The sequence below is a fragment of the Homo sapiens genome, chromosome 10 (genome assembly GCF_000001405.40).
Source record: "Homo sapiens chromosome 10, GRCh38.p14 Primary Assembly".
Lineage (NCBI taxonomy): Eukaryota > Metazoa > Chordata > Mammalia > Primates > Hominidae > Homo > Homo sapiens.
Window position 1 is genome coordinate 10,676,584 of NC_000010.11, and position 21,715 is coordinate 10,698,298.

General features: G+C 40.6%; 1 protein-coding gene across 9 annotated transcripts in view, besides 2 other annotated features; it reads left to right on the top strand.

Moving 5' to 3' along the window:
• The window catches only part of CELF2 (CUGBP Elav-like family member 2), an 874,126-nt gene that overhangs the window by 214,034 nt on the left and 638,377 nt on the right, over positions 1–21,715 (top strand). For all 9 annotated transcript variants that reach the window (XM_047424494.1, NM_001326323.2, NM_001326320.2 and 6 more), the window contains exon 2: positions 5,873–5,911. The gene's annotated coding sequence lies outside the window, so the exon portion shown is untranslated. The remainder of the gene's footprint in view (positions 1–5,872; positions 5,912–21,715) is intronic.
• Positions 9,142–9,251: a silencer, noted in NCBI's record as "silent region_2121". NCBI's record gives its function as "represses an Ori minimal core promoter by ATAC-STARR-seq in GM12878 lymphoblastoid cells {active_cell/tissue: GM12878}" and the evidence as "EXISTENCE:reporter gene assay evidence [ECO:0000049][PMID:35858748]".
• Positions 20,167–20,709: an enhancer, noted in NCBI's record as "H3K4me1 hESC enhancer chr10:10738713-10739255 (GRCh37/hg19 assembly coordinates)". NCBI's record gives its function as "activates a minimal SCP1, AML or CMV promoter by ChIP-STARR-seq in primed H9 embryonic stem cells {active_cell/tissue: H9 hESC(primed)}" and the evidence as "EXISTENCE:reporter gene assay evidence [ECO:0000049][PMID:30033119]".

Here is a 21,715-nt window from a genome sequence, read left to right on the forward strand (position 1 = left end):
AGAGCTTTTGGTTCTCAGGCTTGTTCACACCAAGCCTCCAGTGAGTTGCCAGTTACAGTTCCAGTTTTCCTACCCCAGCACTGGTTCCATGGAGGTTTCTGCTCCTGTAGGTTCTGATTTTTTTTGTGTCTGCCTATGATGTGTTTCCAGTTTGGAGGGCAGAGGTTTGTCCTGTGAACCTACTTCTTTTACAGATCTAAGAAGAGCTGTTGTCCTGCATTGTTTTACTTGTTATTAGGGGGGAGTGACAGCTTCCACACTGGCTAAGTATGGAACCAGAAACAGACAGTACTTTTAGACTCTTAATAACCAAGAATGCCAAATTATTTGGGGAATTAAATTAAACCTGTCTTTACAATCATTCATTATTCTAAGGGCTAGATGAACTAAATACTTAACCTTTAATTGCCTCCATTTATTAACAATGTAAAGTCTTTTAATATGGTCCAAAAAAGCAGACCAGTTCAGCCCAGCTGCTCATGGTTTTACTTGACAGCTGTAAAATAATGAGGGCTATAGCAATGTATAGTCTGCAGAGAGAAATCAGCCAAGATTATTCTCTGGGGACATTAGAATATACAGTTACAGGATGTTAATAAAATACTTTGGAGGTTCACATCATTTACATAGAAACCAAGTAAGTACCATTTATACACTGACTGAGTGGGTCTTACGCTTGTGGACAGAGCCTTTGGCTACACCCTTTTCTACTGGGTCATAGAATTTATGGCTGCTAAAAGGTCCTGGCATAAACCCATGAATTGAATGGTGATAGCAGAAACCAACTGCCCCTTTTGGAAAGGTAGAAGCAGTTCTGACTGTTGAGGTTTGGACCACAGGGCAAATAAAGCTTTGTATTTCTCTAAGATTCTCTGAGACGGTCACAATCAGAATTATTTAGGTACTTATTGAAAAATGCATATCCCTGGGGCCCCAATACTGAATATTGAATCAGTGTCTCTAGAGTGGGACCCAGAAATCAGAGTACCTGCAAATTCCACTGAATGATTGTCAACACACGTTAAGATTTGAGATCCTCCATTAGTGTAGCCAAGCTCTCCTTGAAACCGCATGCGGTAGTGCCACCCAGTGGTTTGTTCTCTACAACTGTGCTCTTTGCTTGGAAGCAGCCTCATGTTTATTGTTTTACATGCTCAAAGATGGCTGACTCAGGCTTTGGGGGAATCCTAGCTGTTCTCTGCTAAGCAATGAAACAAGTTGCCACAGGGTCAATTTGATTGAGTTGCTCAGTTGGCAAGAACAAGCCACTAATCAATAAGACTAGCCTGATTATTTAGGACTATATGAACAATGGAATCAGATGAAGGCAAGTAATGCAATTGCCAGGAATTGACTTGTGACAGTCAATCTGGGTGACTTTTGAAAGACAGTCACTTTATAACATGACCTAGTAAGTTACCATCTTTAGTGTATATGTATTACTCTGCCTGAGCAGACTACTGGTGCAAGCCTGTGACAAAACTCTCTGCTTCTTTGGCATATTCTGACTATTCTACTCAGTTAGCTGTCTAGCCATCTTTATAATCTTTTTCTCTTTATTGCCTGTAAAATTACTTTATAGGAGATACTTATGGATCCACACATCTAGCAAAAATTATTTCCAAATTGTGTTTTAGGTTTGTTTGATTGTTTTATGGTCAAGAAATTATATCTGATATTTTAAGAAGTTAAATGAACATTTAAAATTGTTTTGCCTTACTGTGACCGTATTACAGCATCTATATTTCAGGCAGTAATCAGATTTGTCAGATAGTAAGCACTGGTGACTGCTAAAGTTCAATGATCTGGCTGTAAAGAATTATGTTATTTTGCAGCTGGTCTTTGCTACCTGAAAGATGATGGTGGTCTTTCCATGGAACAGCACTGCACAAGGTGCACATAGGAGGCTTGGTTACATAAACATGGTTGACCATCTGCAGGGCTGATCTTTGATTCCAGCCTCACCAAAGTCAATGTGTTAGTGCACGACCCAAGGCCCCACAGTGTAGATATGCAATGACGGCCAAAAGGCCAGAAACTGCACCAAATGCATCTCTGTGAGTGAAGGAGATTGACTGTTGATAGGGTTGAATTTTGCTTGTGATCAATCCATTAAAAACTGTTTTAAGCACACAGCATTCCCAGAACTTGGATAGGTGATTAAATAGGGGGTGAGATCCCAGTTCCTGTTCATGGAGGAAGTTATAGTTCTCTGTTAGGATCCTTTTGGAATCTACTGGGGATCTGAGCTTTCGAAGTCATTTAACCTGCACAAATGGGGTTTATGCTGCTACAATGAGGTCAAAATAAGATGAAACAAATACTCCATTCCAGGATACACATATAAACAGTAGAACAGAATTTCTAAGTCTCCAGAAAAGAGCAAATAAAACAAATCAAAACCAATATTCCCTCACATGGCCAGGGGAATTGTGATTATGGTCCTTGAACAACTAAGCTAAAATAAAGGGATTTCAGGAGAGTTTTGTTTATCTCCACCCCCTACTTTAGCATATTGTTGTAAAAAGCTAAAATAATACTTGTTTATTTATAAGCTGGTGGCTATAATTTATCAAGAATGGTAGGAGATGGTGCAGTATGATATATCTCCAATTTGAATTCATTTTAGTGACTGCTCTCTTCATGAAAAATAGGCAGTAGCCCCTGAGTAATAAGACTAAGGACAAAATGGTAATCTTTTCTTATGTTTTGTTTTTTGTTTTTGTGACAAAGTCTCAATCTCTCTACCAGGCTGGAGTGAAATGATGTGATCTCGGCTCACTGCAACCTCCACCTCCTGGGTTCAAGCCATTCTCCCGCCTCAGCCTCCCAAGTAGCTGAGAATACAGGCACCCTCCACCATGCCCGGCTAATTTTTGTATTTTTAGTAGAGATGGGGTTTCACCATGTTGGCCAGGCTGGTCTCAAACTCCTGACCTCAAGTGATCCGCCAGCCTTGGCTTCCCAAAGTGCTGGGATTACAGGTGTAAGCCACCATGCCTGGCCCTATGTTTTACTTTTAAAAACCTTTTTTATCATGAAAAAATTTGAACATACCCAAAAGAACACCAGGATAATGAACTCTCATATATCCATCTAGTTTCCACAATTATCAACACAATATTGACATTTCAAAATAAAACTGTTACTTATATTACTCTTTTAAATGTATTCAGTAGATACATGGCACATGGTGATACACATTGCTGTCCATTGAAAAATACACGATAAATACATGAATGTTACATTATTCCTTTTTCTCCTTCAATTTAGAATGGTAATCTCTGGTATAGGTGAATGCTTCAGTTGCTGCACTGAACCTTGTGTGAATGTGTGTGAATATCTTCCTCTACAGGGAGTTTTTCCTCTTTATTAAAATACTGAGATATTATAAATACAGAAGAGTATATAAAATGTATATTTACGGGTTAAAGAATAATGATACGTTAATACTCATTTAACCACCACCAGATCAAGAATCATTAGCATTCTCGAATCAACATGCTATCCACTCCCCAAAACATGCACAAAACTCGGGTAGCATGATTTGTATGTATGTACGTATGTATGTATGTATGTATGTATGTATGTATGTGCGTATGTGTATAAACAAATAAAAAAATGTATATACACTGCAGAGTTTGGGAGTCCCCAAGACCACCCCCACTTCTGACACCAGTTGCAAGTTTAGGGATCCCCAAGACTACCTTCAGGTTTGAAAATTTTCTAGAAAGATCACGAAACTCACTAAAGTGCTCATACTCAACAGTTTTGGTTTATTATAGTGAAAGGATGCAGATTAAAATCAGCCAAGGGGAGGGGCACATGGGGCAGGATCCAGGACAGTTCCAAGAGCGAGGCTTCTAGTAATCCTCTCCCACTGGAGTTTTGCAGACAGTGCTTTCTTCTCCCAGAAACATGATGTATGACAATTTGTATGCTATAGGCCAACCACAGAAGCCCACCAAGCTTGTTGTCCAGAGTTCTTATTAGGGCCCAGTTACATAAACACGTTGACTATATGCAAGGCCTTTGTCTCCAGCTTCACCAAAAATCACTTGGATAGCGCGTGGCCCAAGGCCTCTGACATAAATCACATTGTTAGCATAGCCTATCTGGTGCAGTCCAAGAGGCCCAGGTAAACAGTGACACTCATATCAAACAGGACATTCCAAGAACTTAGCCATGATTTCCCAGGGCGAAGGGAAAAGGCCAGAGCTCTCTTTTAGCAAGGTTAATTGTTTACTACGTATATATGAATAGGTATGTTTATGTGTTTATATCTTTTCATTAAAAATATAGTTTGGTTGTGTCCATTTTTCAATTTCATATAAATGCTTAAGTATTATTTGTATAAGTTACAGAAATATGTAGACATTTTTAGTTTCATGTAAATTCCTCATGTAAATAATAATTAGATATATACTTAAATATTTTGATTTGCTTCTCTCAAGGGTTTTTATTTATTCTGTATTGAATTAATGATCTAGATATTCTTATCAAATATTAAGAATAAAGTCTTATCAGATGAAGAGTAGAACTGATGAGTATCTAAAGTACAGCAATGAATTCAGCCTAGGACTTCCAGCACAGACAGCTAAGGACTCCATTTATTCATGTTTATATCCCTCATAGTCTGCTGTGAGTGACCTATGGGCCCCAGGACAAAATACAGTTCTTTTTATTTTAATGGTCTGAAAAGTTAGCATTCACCTACCTTATTGATCAGCGTCAGTTGTTAGGGTCTCATCACATTATCTGCCTCCAAACCTCCAACCGAGATGAAATCAATGACTGCCCAGGTCAGGGGTTAGTACACTTTTCTAAAAGGGCCAGGTTGTAAATATTCTAGGATATGCAGGTCATACCCTCTCCATTCCAACTACTCACCTACTGTCCTCATAGAGTGGAAGGAGCCACAGACTATATATAAACAAGTGCGTATGGCTGTGCTCCAGAAAACTTTATTGGTCCCCAGTGAAATTTTAATTTCATAAAATTTTCACATGCCATGAAATAGTGCTGTTCTTTTGATTTTTTTTAACCATTTAAAAAAGTAAAAATGATTCTTAGCTCACAAGTCAGAGGCTAACAGGCTAGATTTGGCCCATGAGCTACAGTTTGTCAAGTCCTAGTCTAGGTTCATGAATTCAAGGATTCTAGAATGAAGATCAGGTTTTTCATTTATAATAGCATATTCCTCCCAGCTCCTAATTCATCAATCTTACACCACTGACAACCATGAAAATGAATTTTAACTCATATAAAACCCATTTTGGAACCAAGTTTGTTTGTATTGCTTAGCTAAAACATAAAAAAGCTTACGTGTAGTAAATGGATTTCAGTAAACATTTGACCCAAACAACTGGCTAATGTTCTAGATTTTACCATCAAAATAAAACAGATTAAGAGATTTCCAGAATAATCCTCTGACATTAAGTCTCTAGACAGAATTTCTGTGGCAGAAGAAGGGCTTGAATTTCCTTCTTTACCTCTCATTCAATTGATATGGTAAAATAGAAGGTAGCCAACAGGTATCAAAATCCTCAATGTAATATGGACCACCCCGAGTAAAATCTTATTTGCGTAGATGTAGTAGAAATCAAAAATCAATTAATGCAGCAATATTATTTTACTCTGACGGGGAACAACAAGCCTTCCACAAGTAAATTTCACTTCTGCATTCACTGTAGGTCGGTGAGCACAATGAGAAATTTACAAGAGCAAATGACACAAAATTAATCTCAGTTGTTACCCATTGCTTCACCGTTTTTCTTAAAGAACAATTTTTTGAAAAATTACATGTTAGCATAGAGCATGTTTCACAAATTGGAGGACTGTGCTTCATTACTTCTATTTTCTTCATATTTAGGTCTACAGAGCTACACAAAGGAGTGATCCGGCCCATCAGGTAAGAGCTTGCTTCTTGCGCAGACTGAAGGTGTTCCGTTTGAAGAGCACCTGCTAGACAAGTAGTGAGGGTGGTTTATTCCCTTGGCTTTGGTTTTCTGCTTTTTGTCGTTCCTGGGATATAAACATTTCTCTTGTTTCTCTTTGCATTTTTTTTTTCTTCTGGATTCAGTTTACTGTTGAATCTGATCCATTGTCTCTTTGGATCACATTTACATAAGAGCCTACCTGTTATTGGATATCAGCATTCCTGGATGACTGTTTGATTGCACATTTCTGTATTACGATCGCTTTTGTTCTATTACTAGGTGTTTTCTTGTGTTTTCCCCCAAAACGTCGGCTTCTTTGTAAAAAGTATTTTGAGTAACAGTATTAGGAGACTGTTCTGAAACTGAATTCTATGGGTCTGTTTTGAGAATGGAAGCAGTCAGCTGTATATGAACTCCATCACTCCTGGATTGACAACATGGACCAGCAAGCCCCCAGTGCCACACTCACAGAACGCAGCAAGACCCTGTGAAAACAGATCACACTTGCTTTCTCTTTTCTCTAATTTCAAGTATCAAAATAGCACCCAAATTTAAGAGAATAATTAATTTGCCCTCTTAAATAATTTAACACGGGACATTTTCCCTACTATAGTATTTCAATATCCAGGGGCAAAGAAGACATGAACAGCGTAAAGGCAGCCAGAAGATACACAGAAACTGATCAGCTATTTTCGAAACATTCTCACAGAAAGTCTGTTCAAAAGTTCTTTTCCTCCTCCACTTAGGTTTTTAAATGTCATTGCAATTGAATGTTGAGCCCTGCAAAATCCAGGGCATTGTTACTGATAAATAACTCCTATTAATAGCGATTTCATTCATTGGAGCTTTTAATTCATTTTGGTTTTGTTGATTTTCATGCTTGTGTTTTCCATTCGTTTCAATACGGTCCATCTTTCTGTTTCTTTTTAATGTTTTAATCCAATTACCAGCCCCATAAACACGTATTTGCCACATCTACAGTAGGTGCACTGAGCTGTGAGCAGAAGTGATTTCTGATTACAGACAGGCTCATTCTCAAGGGGCAAGAGGAATAACATGTAGTGAACTGAATAAAATAATAATGGAAAATACCTTGTTAGGTGACATATGGCGCAGTTTTAGAGTACAGATGGGAAAGAAAAAGTTACTCAATCCTAAAACACATATGCATTGCGTGGATAGCAGTTGTAATGTAGATCATATATGATGGGCTTGGTTATGAAAGAAAAAAACTTACGATTTCATTGCTCAAGTGTGTTCATTAATATTAGGATTAGCCTCTCTAACTGAGAAGGTGACAAAAAGCAATTTAGATTCTTTAAAACCCTAGAGTTTTGTCAACAGGAGGACCAAAGGCAAAAGTCGTCAGGCAAGAGGGTCCCCAGGACCTCTGGATTTTCTATTCTCCTTTTTCCTCTTGACTGTTTCTCTTTCCTTTCACTCCTTTTCAGAATTTCTACCTTTAGGGACTCCTACTCCCACCCACAGAAAAAAAAATCGCACGTACTTTCTGTACCTTTAGTTATGATTAATAACACCTTGGGGAATTACCTATGTTACAACCTTTACATATCACAGGGATTCCTACCTCGGGATGAAGGGATGAAGCACGGATGATAGAGGACTGTGGCTATTTCAGTAGGAGTCAACAGATGAGCAAACATTCTAGGGAGTAATGGGGCCTTCACAAATCCTCTAGAATCATCATCAGATTGCACCACGAATTACACTGTTCCTCTATCAGTGTGCAAGTTGATATACAATTATCTAATTGTAGTCAGAGCCCAAACAAAGTGAGTTTGGAAACCAGATATTGCTGTTCTACGTCCCGCCTTCTTACCAGACATTTGAGCAATGACTGTGGGGGTCAGAATATGGAAAACGATTTCCATTGCCAGAAGGTTCAGTAAAACAAAGTTTAAAAAGTAATAAATAATGAGCCAGGCACAGTGGCTCACGCCTGTAATCCCAGGACTTTGAGAGGACAAGGCGGGTGGATAGCTTAAGTCCAGGAATTCAAGACCAGCCTAGGGAACATGATGTGACCCCCATCTCTACAAAACATAAACAAAATTAGCTGGGCATGAGGCATGCTCCTGTGGTCCCAGCTACTCAGGAGGCTGAGGTGGGAGGATCGCCTGAGCCCAGGAGGTTGAGCCTGCAGTGAGTCGAGATTACATGACTGTGCTCCAGCCTGGGTGACAGAGCAGGACCCTGTCTCAACAACAACAACAAAAAATTGCAACAAGAGCTTTGTCAAATTAGGCCAGCTCCCATCCCAAGAATAGAACGTGCTATTTTGAAGCTCCTAAATCTGAGAAACAGGTGCATAGTCAACAAGGTTTTCAGAAAACCCTGCAGGCACATCCTATTCACAGCACCGGGAGCTAGTTCATTGAGCCTTTAAGCATTGAGAGTTAAGATTTCCCATATCTCAGTGGATTCTCTTTGGTTAGAGCAAAACCAACAAAGACAGGAGGCTAAGTACAAACAACCACCGGAGACCAAAATGTCAGTTTCTTAGGCATAATGAAGGGCTTCAAAGGGTTGTCAGGGCAAGTTAAGTGCAGTGGTAAGAAAGCAGGTAAACCCTATGCTTATTCTGTGCATGGTGTGGTTTTGATGATCCTCTGGGAACCAGGGGGCCAGAAGTATACAGAGCGGCTCAGATTTTGGTCTTTCTCTTCTCAGAGGCCAAAGGAAACTAGACTGTCATCTGCTTTTTGGTGGTTTTATGCAGCATCGTTCAACTGCACTTAGTGACACAGCTTTACCCATTTCTTTCCGTTCTTTAGGCAAACATTAAATCATAAAACTTTCCACAGTACTTAAGAGACATTTAGCTGCCAAATGATGAATCAAATGTGTGATTTAAGCACTGAAATTCAAAGTTTAATGTCACTTTTATCATTTCATTTTATTATATCCTATAAAATACAGAGCCGTAACTTATAATGACAATGGCAATCACATACGATACATTCTGTAGATTCACTTCTAATACTATCAGAATGTATTTTAGATAGATTGCAAAGTCCATACACAACTAACACACAGGGCTTTTGACTTTGGTTTCAAAGGTTTTATATGGTGTCTCAAAAGCCAAGCCCTAAAAATTCAGGAGATGTTCTTTTGAATTCACCTTAATATGAGGCTGATTTTATAGCTTAGGGCTCCTACTGAGAAAGAAGCCAGTTCCTTCTTTGCTGTGGGTTGAGACAAGTGTGAAAGAGTCTGTTTTCTAAGTAGACCACAGCTACTTTCATGAGCTAAATAAAGAGAAGAAACACATATAAGACTGTTAGTCGGGGGAAGCTGACATTTAGAAGGTGTCTAATCTAGTTTGGTTTTCTGCATTGATCAAATTCATGGAATAATTGTTTCCTAGTCCTCTTCCTTTACCTGAAGAGTCAGGGGAAAGAGGCCAGTTCAGAATGGTCATGGTGGCCTGGGAGTGGCTTGCCCTCCTTGATCTTTCACTGAGGATGATGGCAGCTACGCAAACCGCACCTAACTTTTCAGGACCGTGCTGCTTAATGTGACAGGACATTTTATTTACAATTCAACAGTGTCAACACGGTGGTAATAACGTGAGAAGATGATTTCGTTGTTGGCAAATAGATCCTTTCAATTGGTTGATAAAATTGGGAGAGTGTTGATAGGATTGCAGATTACCTGGGAAAAACGTTTGAAGTTATTACCTTGGAAGTATAAACCAGGTAGCTTTACCTGGAAACTTAATTGCTAAAATCTTTAATTTTCTGTGGATTTGGGTTTTTGGATTTTTTGGGGGGGGGGGTGGGGTGGGTTTTTGTTTTGTTTTGTTTTTTTGCAATCTCTTGTTAACTTGTTTTATTTCCAGTCAAACTGGGCAAAGTCCCCATTACATTGGCAGGGTTGTGATCACCGCATCCCTGAGATCTTCCCTTCTGGAGCAGTGTTATGGTTTGGCTCTGTGTCCCCACCCAAATCTCCCCTTGAATTGTAATAATCCCCAGGTGTCAAGGGTGGGACCAGGTGGACAAAATTGAATCATAGGGTAGTTTCCCCTATACTGTCCTTGTGATAGTGAGTGAGTTCTCATGAGATCTTGTGGTTTTATAAGGGGCTCCCCTCTTCACTTGGCTCTTGCTTCTCTCACCTGCCACCATGTAAGACATGCCTGTTTCACCTTCCGCCATGATCGTGAGTTGCCTGAGGCCCCCCAGCCATGTGGAACTGTGAGTCAATTAAACCTCTTTTCTTTATAAATTACCCAGTCTCAGATGTGTCTTCATAGCAGCATGGAAATAGACTGATACAAGCAGGAAGTCAGATTTGCACTACAAAAGGCTCATTCCACTCTACTGGGATGACTGGTCCCATGCCCAGCCTTATCTTCTTATATGTGGAACTCTGAGTCTGCCCTGATCCCACCTTCTTGATGAAATCTTACATAGTGGTTTTCCTACCTAAATTCCTGATCTCTGGCCATTGTATGCTCCCTAACCCTTGTTTCAGGAACTGGCAGCATATGCTCCTTACCTGTTTCGATTCTGCTTTTCTGTGCCCATGAAAACACCCTACACTTAAACTGTGGTGCCGTTTTTTCATTTCAGTATTTCACCAAAGAGTCTCTTGTGGAAGTGCTGCACAGATGGGCACATGCAAAGTGCTGATACAGTGGACCTGAATTGTTTTTAATGGATACTGGTCACCTCTGCCCAAACGGACTGCCATAGAAATACTAAAGGTTAACTTTCCTCCACCTCAGATTTGCTACTGAAATTAACAGAGCTCACTTGAGAGATGAATTTGCTCTTTAAAAATTTATTTCCTATGCATTTTCTCTTCCTGTAAATGGGAACCTGGGATCTCAAAAAACTAAATTAAAATTATCAAATACTATTGAACGAACCTAATGAAAATTTTAACCAAAAGTCATTGTAAATTAGGTATGTTCTATACTGAGAACACAAGCCTTTGAAAAGTAGGTATTGTTCTTATGTAAACTCATGAATGGAGACTTCCTTGAATAAATTACTTCTTAATAACATCAGAGAGTCATTGGCTGGCTAAATATCTCCCTAGGGCACTCACTGAGATTCCTGAATTTAAATGTTCAATAGAACTTCATATTTGTCACCTTTACTAATGAGTTTTTCTTTATGAAATCATTATAAGCATGAAAAAGTTAAATTTTGTATCTAATTTCTAGAATTAATGCTGTCTAAAAGACCTCAAGGGGTTGAAAGTTTTCTTGCCGGGATGCAACATTTACATAATTTCTATTGCCCCAGTGTTTACACTCTCCTACCCACTGTCAATTTGCTACCTGAGGCATGAGAAAGAAAAATGATCAGAACAGCCAGAATGTCTGGGAATTTCTGCAAATAGGAACAATGGATCTTCTCAAAAGAGCAGAGAGCAAAATGCTGTCTCCTATTCTGACTTGTGATTCAAGCATACAAAGCCTTACCATTGTTCTTTCTAAAGTACAGACTCACAGCAAGGGCTACTACTGCTGCTACATTTATGATATTCGCGAACAAGTTTATCACCATGGTTAAACAATTCCCCGAGTTACAAGAATCTGTTTTGTTATAGTCAGTCTGGAGTTTTTATTCTTGGATTTAGGATTTTACCTGCATTTCTTTCATTTTAACATGACAGCCGATGGACTAAGTTCTGTCTTGTCAAAGCAAGAACTGTAGGTCCTGTAACTGCAGCTTGAAACTATCAGTATATCTCACGTTGCAGAATCCTTTAAGGTAGGAGATAAAGTGCTTGTTTATAAACAGATCTGGACTGCTTTTCCACATAGGGGACAGTGAAGCAAAGCTATGACATTTCCAAGATGCCACTGCCTTGACCACAGTCAGAAAGAAAGATGCTAACAAATTATAACCACTGCCTTCCAGTGCTGCCCAGACCCGACCCAGCCTCCTCCATTTAGTGTGTTTAACTAGACTCCCAAATTCATAAGTATCATTGTGCCACAACAGAGTAAACCAATTGAATAGCTGATGCATGTCCAGTACAGAGAAAGTCCTGGGTACAACAGAGGGACCTCAATGCATTACTCCTTGATCACCAGTTATTCCTGGCACCTTTATAATATTTACAGTATTTAGCATCCCTAAGAATGGAACCAATACTTTAAACCAACTCGTGATGATATAATTGGTTGTATGAAAATAAATGGTACTAGCCAGTTTTTTTTTGGCTGGGCTCAGTGGCTCATGCCTGTAATCCAAACACTTAGAGACAAGAGTGTCACTTGAAGCCAGGAGTTTGAGGCCAGTCTGAGCAACAAAACAAAACTCTGTGTATACCAAAAAAAAATTAATTAATTAGTTGGGTGTGGTGGTGGATGCCTGTAGTCCCAGCTACTCGGGAGGCTAAGGCAGGAGAATTGCTTGAGCCCAGGAATTCGAGGCTTCAGTGAACCATGCTCACACCACTGCACCCCAGGCTGGGCAACAGAACAAGACCCTATCTCTCTCCTAAAAAAAAAGTAGTTAAATTTAAGTTTTAAAGAAGAAAAAATATGGTATCATTTCTGAGTTCCATAATTTTTGTTACCTTTTGTATTAGTCCATCCTCATACTGCTCTAAAGAACTACCTGAGACTGGGTAACTTATGAAGAAGAGAGGTTTAATTGGCTCACAGCTGCACAGATTTAACAGGAAGCATTACCAGGAGGCCTCAGGAAATTGACAATCATGGTGAAAGGGGAGGGGGAAGCAAGGACCTTCTTCACATGGTGGCAGGAGAGAGAAACAGTGAAGAGGGAAGTGCCACACACTTTTAAACCATCAGATCTCATGAGGACTCACTATCATGAGAACAGCAAGGTGGAAAATCTGCCCCCATGATCCAGTCACCTCCACCAGGTCCCTCCCCCAACACTTAGGATTACAAATCAACATGATATTTGGGTGGGGACACAGAGCTAAACCATATCACCTTTGCAGTATATCAAATTAAAAAGCACATTTCACAAAATCATAACATGAAAAATGAAAACTAGTATTTGAATATACTTCATAGCACTATGAAATACTTTCAACATGCAGGCTAAAGACATGAACAAGATTACTCATGGATAGTTTATGACAACGAATTTACTCCTAAGCTAACACCAGAAAAGGCATTCAAATCACATGAACCAAAACAGATTCACCGAAGAACCTGGATTAGCAAATAACCGAGAGTGTACACCAACCTCCTCAAACAAAGCCCTCTATTCAGCCAAGGAATTTCAATAGAATTGAAAGTTCATTTCACATTATGCAACAAATTTAACGAAATATGTACGTGTGAACAAAATTCTATATCTATACATAACATGTTCCTACTGAATTTCAACAGAAATCAAACATGAAATCCCACAGGAAGTATTTCATTCAACAAGTATATGTGGAGGACATTCCAAGCACCAGTCAGATCTACATGCAGAGACTCCAGTGGCAGGTTTCAGAATATACAAGATTGAGAATGAGGTTTAAACTGATGACCATCTCTGTGGAACATAAGCTATAATGTCCATATATGGGTGCTAGGAGCTACAGTCTCCAGTAATACTGTTTCTCTTTGTATCATTTTTCTGAATTCTGACCTCTCTCCTCTTCTTCATTGGCTTCTAAGACTATATAGGTTTCCTCCTTGCTGAAGATTTTCTACCTCACCTTAGAAATTCCCAGAACTTTGCACCTTTCCCTTTGTGACTGGTTCATTATGATGCCCGAATTGCAGGTGTTACCCTGTAGCATACGATGTCCTCCAGACTGTAGCTTCCTTGAGTTAGAGGCTTGAGTTTGCTTGAGCAAATCAAACATGTTTCCCAGTCTATCAGCCTACATGATTAAGGTTATCTATACATCTTACTAAGTGTTATCATGTGTATGTGTGTGTATGCACACACATAGATTAAAATAATACACTGTATAAAATACAGTGAGTGCCAAAATAAAAGTACAGAATGAAGGCACAAATGCCTACCCGCTCCCATCAAGCATCCCATCAGTACACAATGGTTGACAACAGTGCAGGACCAGAAGACAGACCACCTGCATGCAAAATACCAGCTCATGGTTGGGCACAGTGGTGCATGCCTATAATCTCAGCACTTTGGGAGGCTGAGGTGGGCAGATCACTTGAGGTCAGGGGTTCGAGAACAGTGTGGCCATGATGGTGAAACCCCATCTCTACTAAAAATACAAAAATTAGCCTGGCATGGTGATGCACGCCTATAATACCAGCTACTCAGGAGGCTGAGGCATGAGAATCACTTGAACTGGGGAGGCAGAGGTTGCAGTGAGCCTAGATCGTGCCAACTGCATTCCAGCCTGGGTGACAGTGAAACTCTGTCTCGAAAAAACAAACAAATACCAGCTCAACCTCCTTCAAGCTTATGTCCTCAAGGAACTTATTTTTCTTACATTATCTCAGTTTTCTTTTCAGAGAAAAGGGAAATCGCCATATTCCTAGGATTATGGTGATTTTTTTTTATTATTATACTTTAAGTTTTAGGGTGCATGTGCACATTGTGCAGGTTAGTTACATATGTATACATATGCCATGCTGGTGCGCTGCACCCACTAACTCGTCATCTAGCATTAGGTATATCTCCCAGTGCTATCCCTCCCCTCTCCCCCCACCCCACAACAGTCCCCAGAGTGTGATGTTCCCCTTCCTGTGTCCATGTGATCTCATTGTTCAATTCCCACCTATGAGTGAGAATATGCGCTGTTTGGTTTTTTGTTCTTGCGATAGTTTACTGAGAATGATGATTTCCAATTTCATCCATGTCCCTACAAAGGACATGAACTCATCATTTTTTATGGCTGCATAGTATTCCATGGTGTATATGTGCCACATTTTCTTAATCCAGTCTATCATTGTTGGACATTTGGGTTGGTTCCAAGTCTTTGCTATTGTGAATAATGCCACAATAAACATACGTGTGCATGTGTCTTTATAGCAGCATGATTTATAGTCCTTTGGGTATATACCCAGTAATGGGATGGGCTGGGTCAAATGGTATTTTACTTCTAGATCCCTGAGGAATCACCACACTGACTTCCACAATGGTTGAATCAGTTTACAGTCCCACCAACAGTGTAAAAGTGTTCCTATTTCTCCACATCCTCTCCAGCACCTGTTGTTTCCTGACTTTTTAATGATAGCCATTCTAACTGGTGTGAGATGGTATCTCATTGTGGTTTTGATTTGCATTTCTCTGATGGCCAGTGATGATGAGCATTTTTTCATGTGTTTTTTGGCTGCATAAATGTCTTCTTTTGAGAAGTGTCTGTTCATGTCCTTCGCCCACTTTTTGATGGGGTTGTTTGTTTTTTTCTTGTAAATTTGTTTGAGTTCATTGTAGATTCTGGATATTAGCCCTTTGTCAGATGAGTAGGTTGCGAAAATTTTCTCCCATTTTGTAGGTTGCCTGTTCACTCTCATGGTAGTTCCTTTTTGCTGTGCAGAAGCTCTTTAGTTTAATGAGATCCCATTTGTCAATTTTGTCTTTTGTTGCCATTGCTTTTGGTGTTTTAGACATGAAGTCCTTGCCCATGCTTATGTCCTGAATGGTAATGCCTAGGTTTTCTTCTAGGGTTTTTATGGTTTTAGGTCTAACGTTTAAGTCTTTAATCCATCTTGAATTGATTTTTGTATAAGGTGTAAGGAAGGGATCCAGTTTCAGCTTTCTACATATGGCTAGCCAGTTTTCCCAGCACCATTTATTAAATAGGGAATCCTTTCCCCATTGCTTGTTTTTCTCAGGTTTCTCAAAGATCAGATAGTTGTAGATATGTGGCATTATTTCTGAGGGCTCTGTTCTGTTCCATTGATCTATATCTCTGTTTTGGTACCAGTGCCATGCTGTTTTGGTTACTGTAGCCTTGTAGTATAGTTTGAAGTCAGGTAGTGTGATGCCTCCAGCTTTGTTCTTTTGGCTTAGGATTGACTTGGTGATGTGGGCTCTTTTTTGGTTCCATATGAACTTTAAAGTAGTTTTTTCCAATTCTGTGAAGAAAGTCATTGGTAGCTTGATGGGGATGGCATTGAATCTGTAAATTACCTTGGGCAGTATGGCCATTTTCACGATATTGATTCTTCCTACCCATGAGCATGGAATGTTCTTCCATTTCTTTGTATCCTCTTTTATTTCCTTGAGCAGTGGTTTGTAGTTCTCCTTGAAGAGGTCCTTCACATCCCTTGTAAGTTGGATTCCTAGGTATTTTATTCTCTTTGAAGCAATTGTGAATGGGAGTTCACTCATGATTTGGCTCTCTGTTTGTCTGTTGTTGGTGTATAAGAATGCTTGTGATTTTTGTACATTGATTTTGTATCCTGAGACTTTGCTGAAGTTGCTTATCAGCTTAAGGAGATTTTGGGCTGAGACAATGGGGTTTTCTAGATATACAATCAGGTCGTCTGCAAACAGGGACAATTTGACTTCCTCTTTTCCTAATTGAATACCCTTTATTTCCTTCTTCTGCCTAATTGCCCTGGCCAGAACTTCCAACACTATGTTGAATAGGAGTGGTGAGAGAGGGCATCCCTGTCTTGTGCCAGTTTTCAAAGGGAATGCTTCCAGTTTTTGCCCATTCAGTATGATATTGGCTGTGGGTTTGTCATAGATAGCTCTTATTATTTTGAAATACGTCCCATCAATACCTAATTTATTGAGAGTTTTTAGCATGAAGGGTTGTTGAATTTTGTCAAAGGCCTTTTCTGCATCTATTGAGATAATCATGTGGTTTTTGTCTTTGGCTCTGTTTATATGCTGGATTACATTTATTGATTTGTGTATATTGAACCAGCCTTGCATCCCAGGGATGAAGCCCACTTGATCATGGTGGATAAGCTTTTTGATGTGCTGCTGGATTCGTTTTGCCAGTATTTTATTGAGGATTTTTGCATCAATGTTCATCAAGGATATTGGTCTAAAATTCTCTTTTTTTGGCTGTGTCTCTGCCCGGCTTTGGTATCAGAATGATGCTGGCCTCATAAAATGAGTTAGGGAGGATTCCCTCTTTTTCTATTGATTGGAATAGTTTCAGAAGGAATGGTACCAGTTCCTCCTTGTACCTCTGGTAGAATTCGGCTGTGAATCCGTCTGGTCCTGGACTCTTTTTGGTTGGTAAGCTATTGATTATTGCCACAATTTCAGCTCCTGTTATTTGTCTATTCAGAGATTCAACTTCTTCCTGGTTTAGTCTTGGGAGAGTGTATGTGTCGAGGAATTTATCCATTTCTTCTAGATTTTCTGGTTTATTTGCGTAGAGGTGTTTGTAGTATTCTCTGATGGTAGTTTGTATTTCCGTGGGATCAGTAGTGATATCCCCTTTATCATTTTTTATTGCGTCTATTTCATTCTTCTCTCTTTTTTTCTTTATTAGTCTTGCTAGCAATCTACCTATTTTGTTGATCCTTTCAAAAAACCAGCTCCTGGATTCATTAATTTTTTGAAGGGTTTTTTGTGTCTCTATTTCCTTCAGTTCTGCTCTGATTTTAGTTATTTCTTGCCTTCTGCTAGCTTTTGAATGTGTTTGCTCTTGCTTTTCTAGTTCTTTTAATTGTGATGTTAGGGTGTCAATTTTGGATCTTTCCTGCTTTCTCTTGTGGGCATTTAGTGCTATAAATTTCCCTCTACACACTGCTTTCAATGCGTCCCAGAGATTCTGGTATGTTGTGTCTTTGTTCTCGTTGGTTTCAAAGAACATTTTTATTTCTGCCTTCATTTCGTTGTGTACCCAGTAGTCATTCAGGAGCAGGTTGTTCAGTTTCCATGTAGTTGAGCGGTTTTGAGTGAGATTCTTAATCCTGAGTTCTAGTTTGATTGCACTGTGGTCTGAGAGATACTTTGTTATAATTTCTGTTCTTTTACATTTGCTGAGGAGAGCTTTACTTCCAAGTATGTGGTCAATTTTGGAATTGGTGTGGCATGGTGCTGAAAAAAATGTATATTCTGTTGATTTGGGGTGGAGAGTTCTGTAGATGTCTACTAGGTCTGCTTGGTGCAGAGCTGAGTTCAATTCCTGGGTATCCTTGCTGACTTTCTGTCTCGTTGATCTGTCTAATGTTGACAGTGGGGTGTTAAAGTCTCCCATTATGAATGTGTGGGAGTCTAAGTCTCTTTGTAGGTCACTCAGGACTTGCTTTATGAATCTGGGTGCTCCTGTATTGGGTGCATATATATTTAGGATAGTTAGCTCTTCTTGTTGAATTGATCCCTTTACCATTATGTAGTGGCCTTCTTTGTCTCTTTTGATCTTTGTTGGTTTAAAGTCTGTTTTATCAGAGATGAGGATTGCAACCCCTGCCTTTTTTTGTTTTCCATTTGCTTGGTAGATCTTCCTCCATCCTTTTATTTTGAGCCTATGTGTGTCTCTGCACATGAGATGGGTTTCCTGAATACAGCACACTGATGGGTCTTGACTCTTTATCCAATTTGCCAGTCTGTGTCTTTTAATTGGAGAATTTAGTCCATTTAAAGTTAATATTGTTATGTGTGAATTTGATCCTGTCATTATGATGTTAGCTGGTGATTTTGCTCTTTAGTTGATGCAGTTTCTTCCTAGTCTCGATGGTCTTTACATTTTGGCATGATTTTGCAGCGGCTGGTACCGATTGTTCCTTTCCATGTTTAGCACTTCCTTCAGGAGCTCTTTTAGGGCAGGCCTGGTGGTGACAAAATCTCTCAGCATTTGCTTGTCTGTAAAGTATTTTATTTCTCCTTCGCTTATGAAGCTTAGTTTGGCTGGATATGAAATTCTGGGTTGAAAATTCTTTTCTTTAAGAATGTTGAATATTGGCCCCCACTCTCTTCTGGCTTGTAGGGTTTCTGCCGAGAGATCAGCTGTTAGTCTGATGGGCTTCCCTTTGAGGGTAACCCGACCTTTCTCTCTGGCTGCCCTTAACGTTTTTTCCTTCATTTCAACTTTGGTGAATCTGACAATTATGTGTCTTGGAGTTGCTCTTCTCGAGGAGTATCTTTGTGGCGTTGTCTGTATTTCCTGAATCTGAACGTTGGCCTGCCTTGCTAGATTGGGGAAGTTCTCCTGGATAATATCCTGCAGAGTGTTTTCCAACTTGGTTCCATTCTCCCAATCACTTTCAGGTACACCAATCAGACGTAGATTTGGTCTTTTCACATAGTCCCATATTTCTTGGAGGCTTTGCTCATTTCCTTTTATTCTTTTTTCTCTAAACTTCCCATCTCGCTTCATTTCATTCATTTCTTCTTCCATTGCTGATACCCTTTCTTCCAGTTGATCGCATCGGCTCCTGAGGCTTCTGCATTCTTCACGTAGTTCTCGAGCCTTGGTTTTCAGCTCCATCAGCTCCTTTAAGCACTTCTCTGTATTGGTTATTCTAGATATACATTCTTCTAAATTTTTTTCAAAGTTTTCAACTTCTTTGCCTTTGGTTTGAATGTCCTCCCGTAGCTCAGAGTAATTTGATCATCTGAAGCCTTCTTCTCTCAGCTCGTCAAAGTCATTCTCCATCCAGCTTTGTTCCGTTGCTGGTGAGGAACTGCGTTCCTTTGGAGGAGGAGAGGTGCTCTGCTTTTTAGAGTTTCCAGTTTTTCTGTTCTGTTTTTTCCCCATCTTTGTGGTTTTACTTTTGGTCTTTGATGATGGTGATGTACAGATGGGTTTTTGGTGTGGATGTCCTTTCTGTTTGTTAGTTTTCCTTCTAACAGACAGGACTCTCAGCTGGAGGTCTGTTGGAGTACCCTGCCGTGTGAGGTGTCAGTGTGCCCCTGCTGGGGGGTGCCTCCCAGTTAGGCTGCTCAGGGGTCAGGGGTCAGGGACCCACTTGAGGAGGCAGTCTGCCCGTTCTCAGATCTCCAGCTGCATGCTGGGAGAACCACTGCTCTCTTCAAAGCTGTCAGACAGGGACATTTAAGTCTGCAGAGGTTACTGCTGTCTTTTTGTTTGTCTGTGCCCTGCCCCCAGAGGTGGAGCCTACAGAGGCAGGCAGGCCTCCTTGAGCTGTGGTGGGCTCCACCCAGTTCGAGCTTCCCTGCTGCTTTGTTTACCTAAGCAAGCCTGGGCAATGGCGGGCGCCCCTCCCCCAGCCTCGCTGCGGCCTTGCAGTTTGATCTCAGACTGTTGTGCTAGCAACCAGTGAGATTCCGTGGGTGTAGGACCCTCCGAGCCAGGTGTGGGATATAGTCTCGTGGTGCGCCGTTTTTTAAGCCCATCGGAAAAGCGCAGTATTTGGGTGGGAGTGACTCGATTTTCCAGGTGCCGTCCGTCACCCCTTTCTTTGACCCCTTGCGCTTCCCAAGTGAGGCAATGCCTTGCCCTGCTTCGGCTAGCGCACGGTGCGTGCACCCAATGACCTATGCCCACTGTCTGGCACTCCCTAGTGAGATGAACCCGGTACCTCAGATGGAAATGCAGAAATCACCCGTCTTCTGCGTCGCTCACGCTGGGAGCTGTAGAGGGGAGCTGTTCCTATTCGGCCATCTTGCGATTATGGTGATTTTTAAGGTACATGTTCAAGGATTAGAAAACAAAATATCTTCAAGATGTTTGGTAATAACATGATTAACACATGTTATTATGATGATGTCCTGCTTTAGAAGGAGACAAAAAAAAAAAAGTGGTTGTCCACCCATAGCAAGCATCTGACCTGAGTTTGGGGTATGTTGAGCATAAAGCCTGAATATAGAGGGTAATAAATGAGAAGATGGAGACATTAACATGGGTGGGAATTGCCAGCATGGTAGTGGTTTTTTGCAGGATGTTTGCAATGGGACAGACGAATGGAGAATGAGTGATACATTACCAAAGCAGCTCTTGAATGACAAGCTGTCCATTGTCAATAAGGAGGGCCCCAGAAAACCCAGCTCATGAAGTGGGCACTGCAGCATTGCTTAAGGCCAGTGTGCAAATTGGAAGCTGGACGGAGACCAGTCTGTGGGCATCAGTGAGGTTGATATCTTAGTCTGTTCGGGCTGCTCTAACAAAATACGCTAGACTCGGGGTCTCCTAAGCAATCAAGAAATTGACTTCTCACAGTTCTAGAGGCTGGGAAGTCTGAGGTCAAGACACTGACGGATGTAGCATCTGGTGAGGAACCTCTTTCAGGTTGCAGACTGCCAATCGGTAGCTGCATCCTCACATGGCAAAAGGACGCTAGCTCTCTCAGGTTTCTTTTATAAAGACATGAATCTCATTCTTGAGGGCCTCACCCTCATGACCTCATCACCTCCCAAAGGCCGCACCCCCCCAATACCATCACCATGGAGATTAGGTTTTGGGTTTGGTTTTGTCTGAGACAGGGTCTTGCTCTGTCACCCAGGCTGGAGTCCAGTGGCACAATCGGATTTCAGCTCACTGCAGCCTGCATCTCCTGGCTTCAAGGAATTCTCCCACTTCAGCCTCCTGAGTAGCTGGGATTACAGGCATGTGCCACTACTCCCAGCTAATTTTTGTATTTTTAGTACAGACAGGGTTTTACCATGTTTGGCCAGGCTGGTCTGGAACTCCTGACCTGAGGTGATCCGCCCACTTCAGCCTCCCAAAGAAGAGTAGGTTTTAACATATCAATTGGGGGGTGGGGCACACACCTTCAGACCTTAGCAGGTGGTGTGATAACATCAAGCCATAGCTAAATAGCAGTCAGTTTATTTCGTAGATCCTAAAAAGTTGTCCAATATGACAGTAAATCTATGACAGAATATTCAGTTTCACTATAAAATGGCTCCAGGAAAAGAACTGAAGCCAATGGAATCGATTAATAGCACTCAGATTGGTAGAAGAGTCCC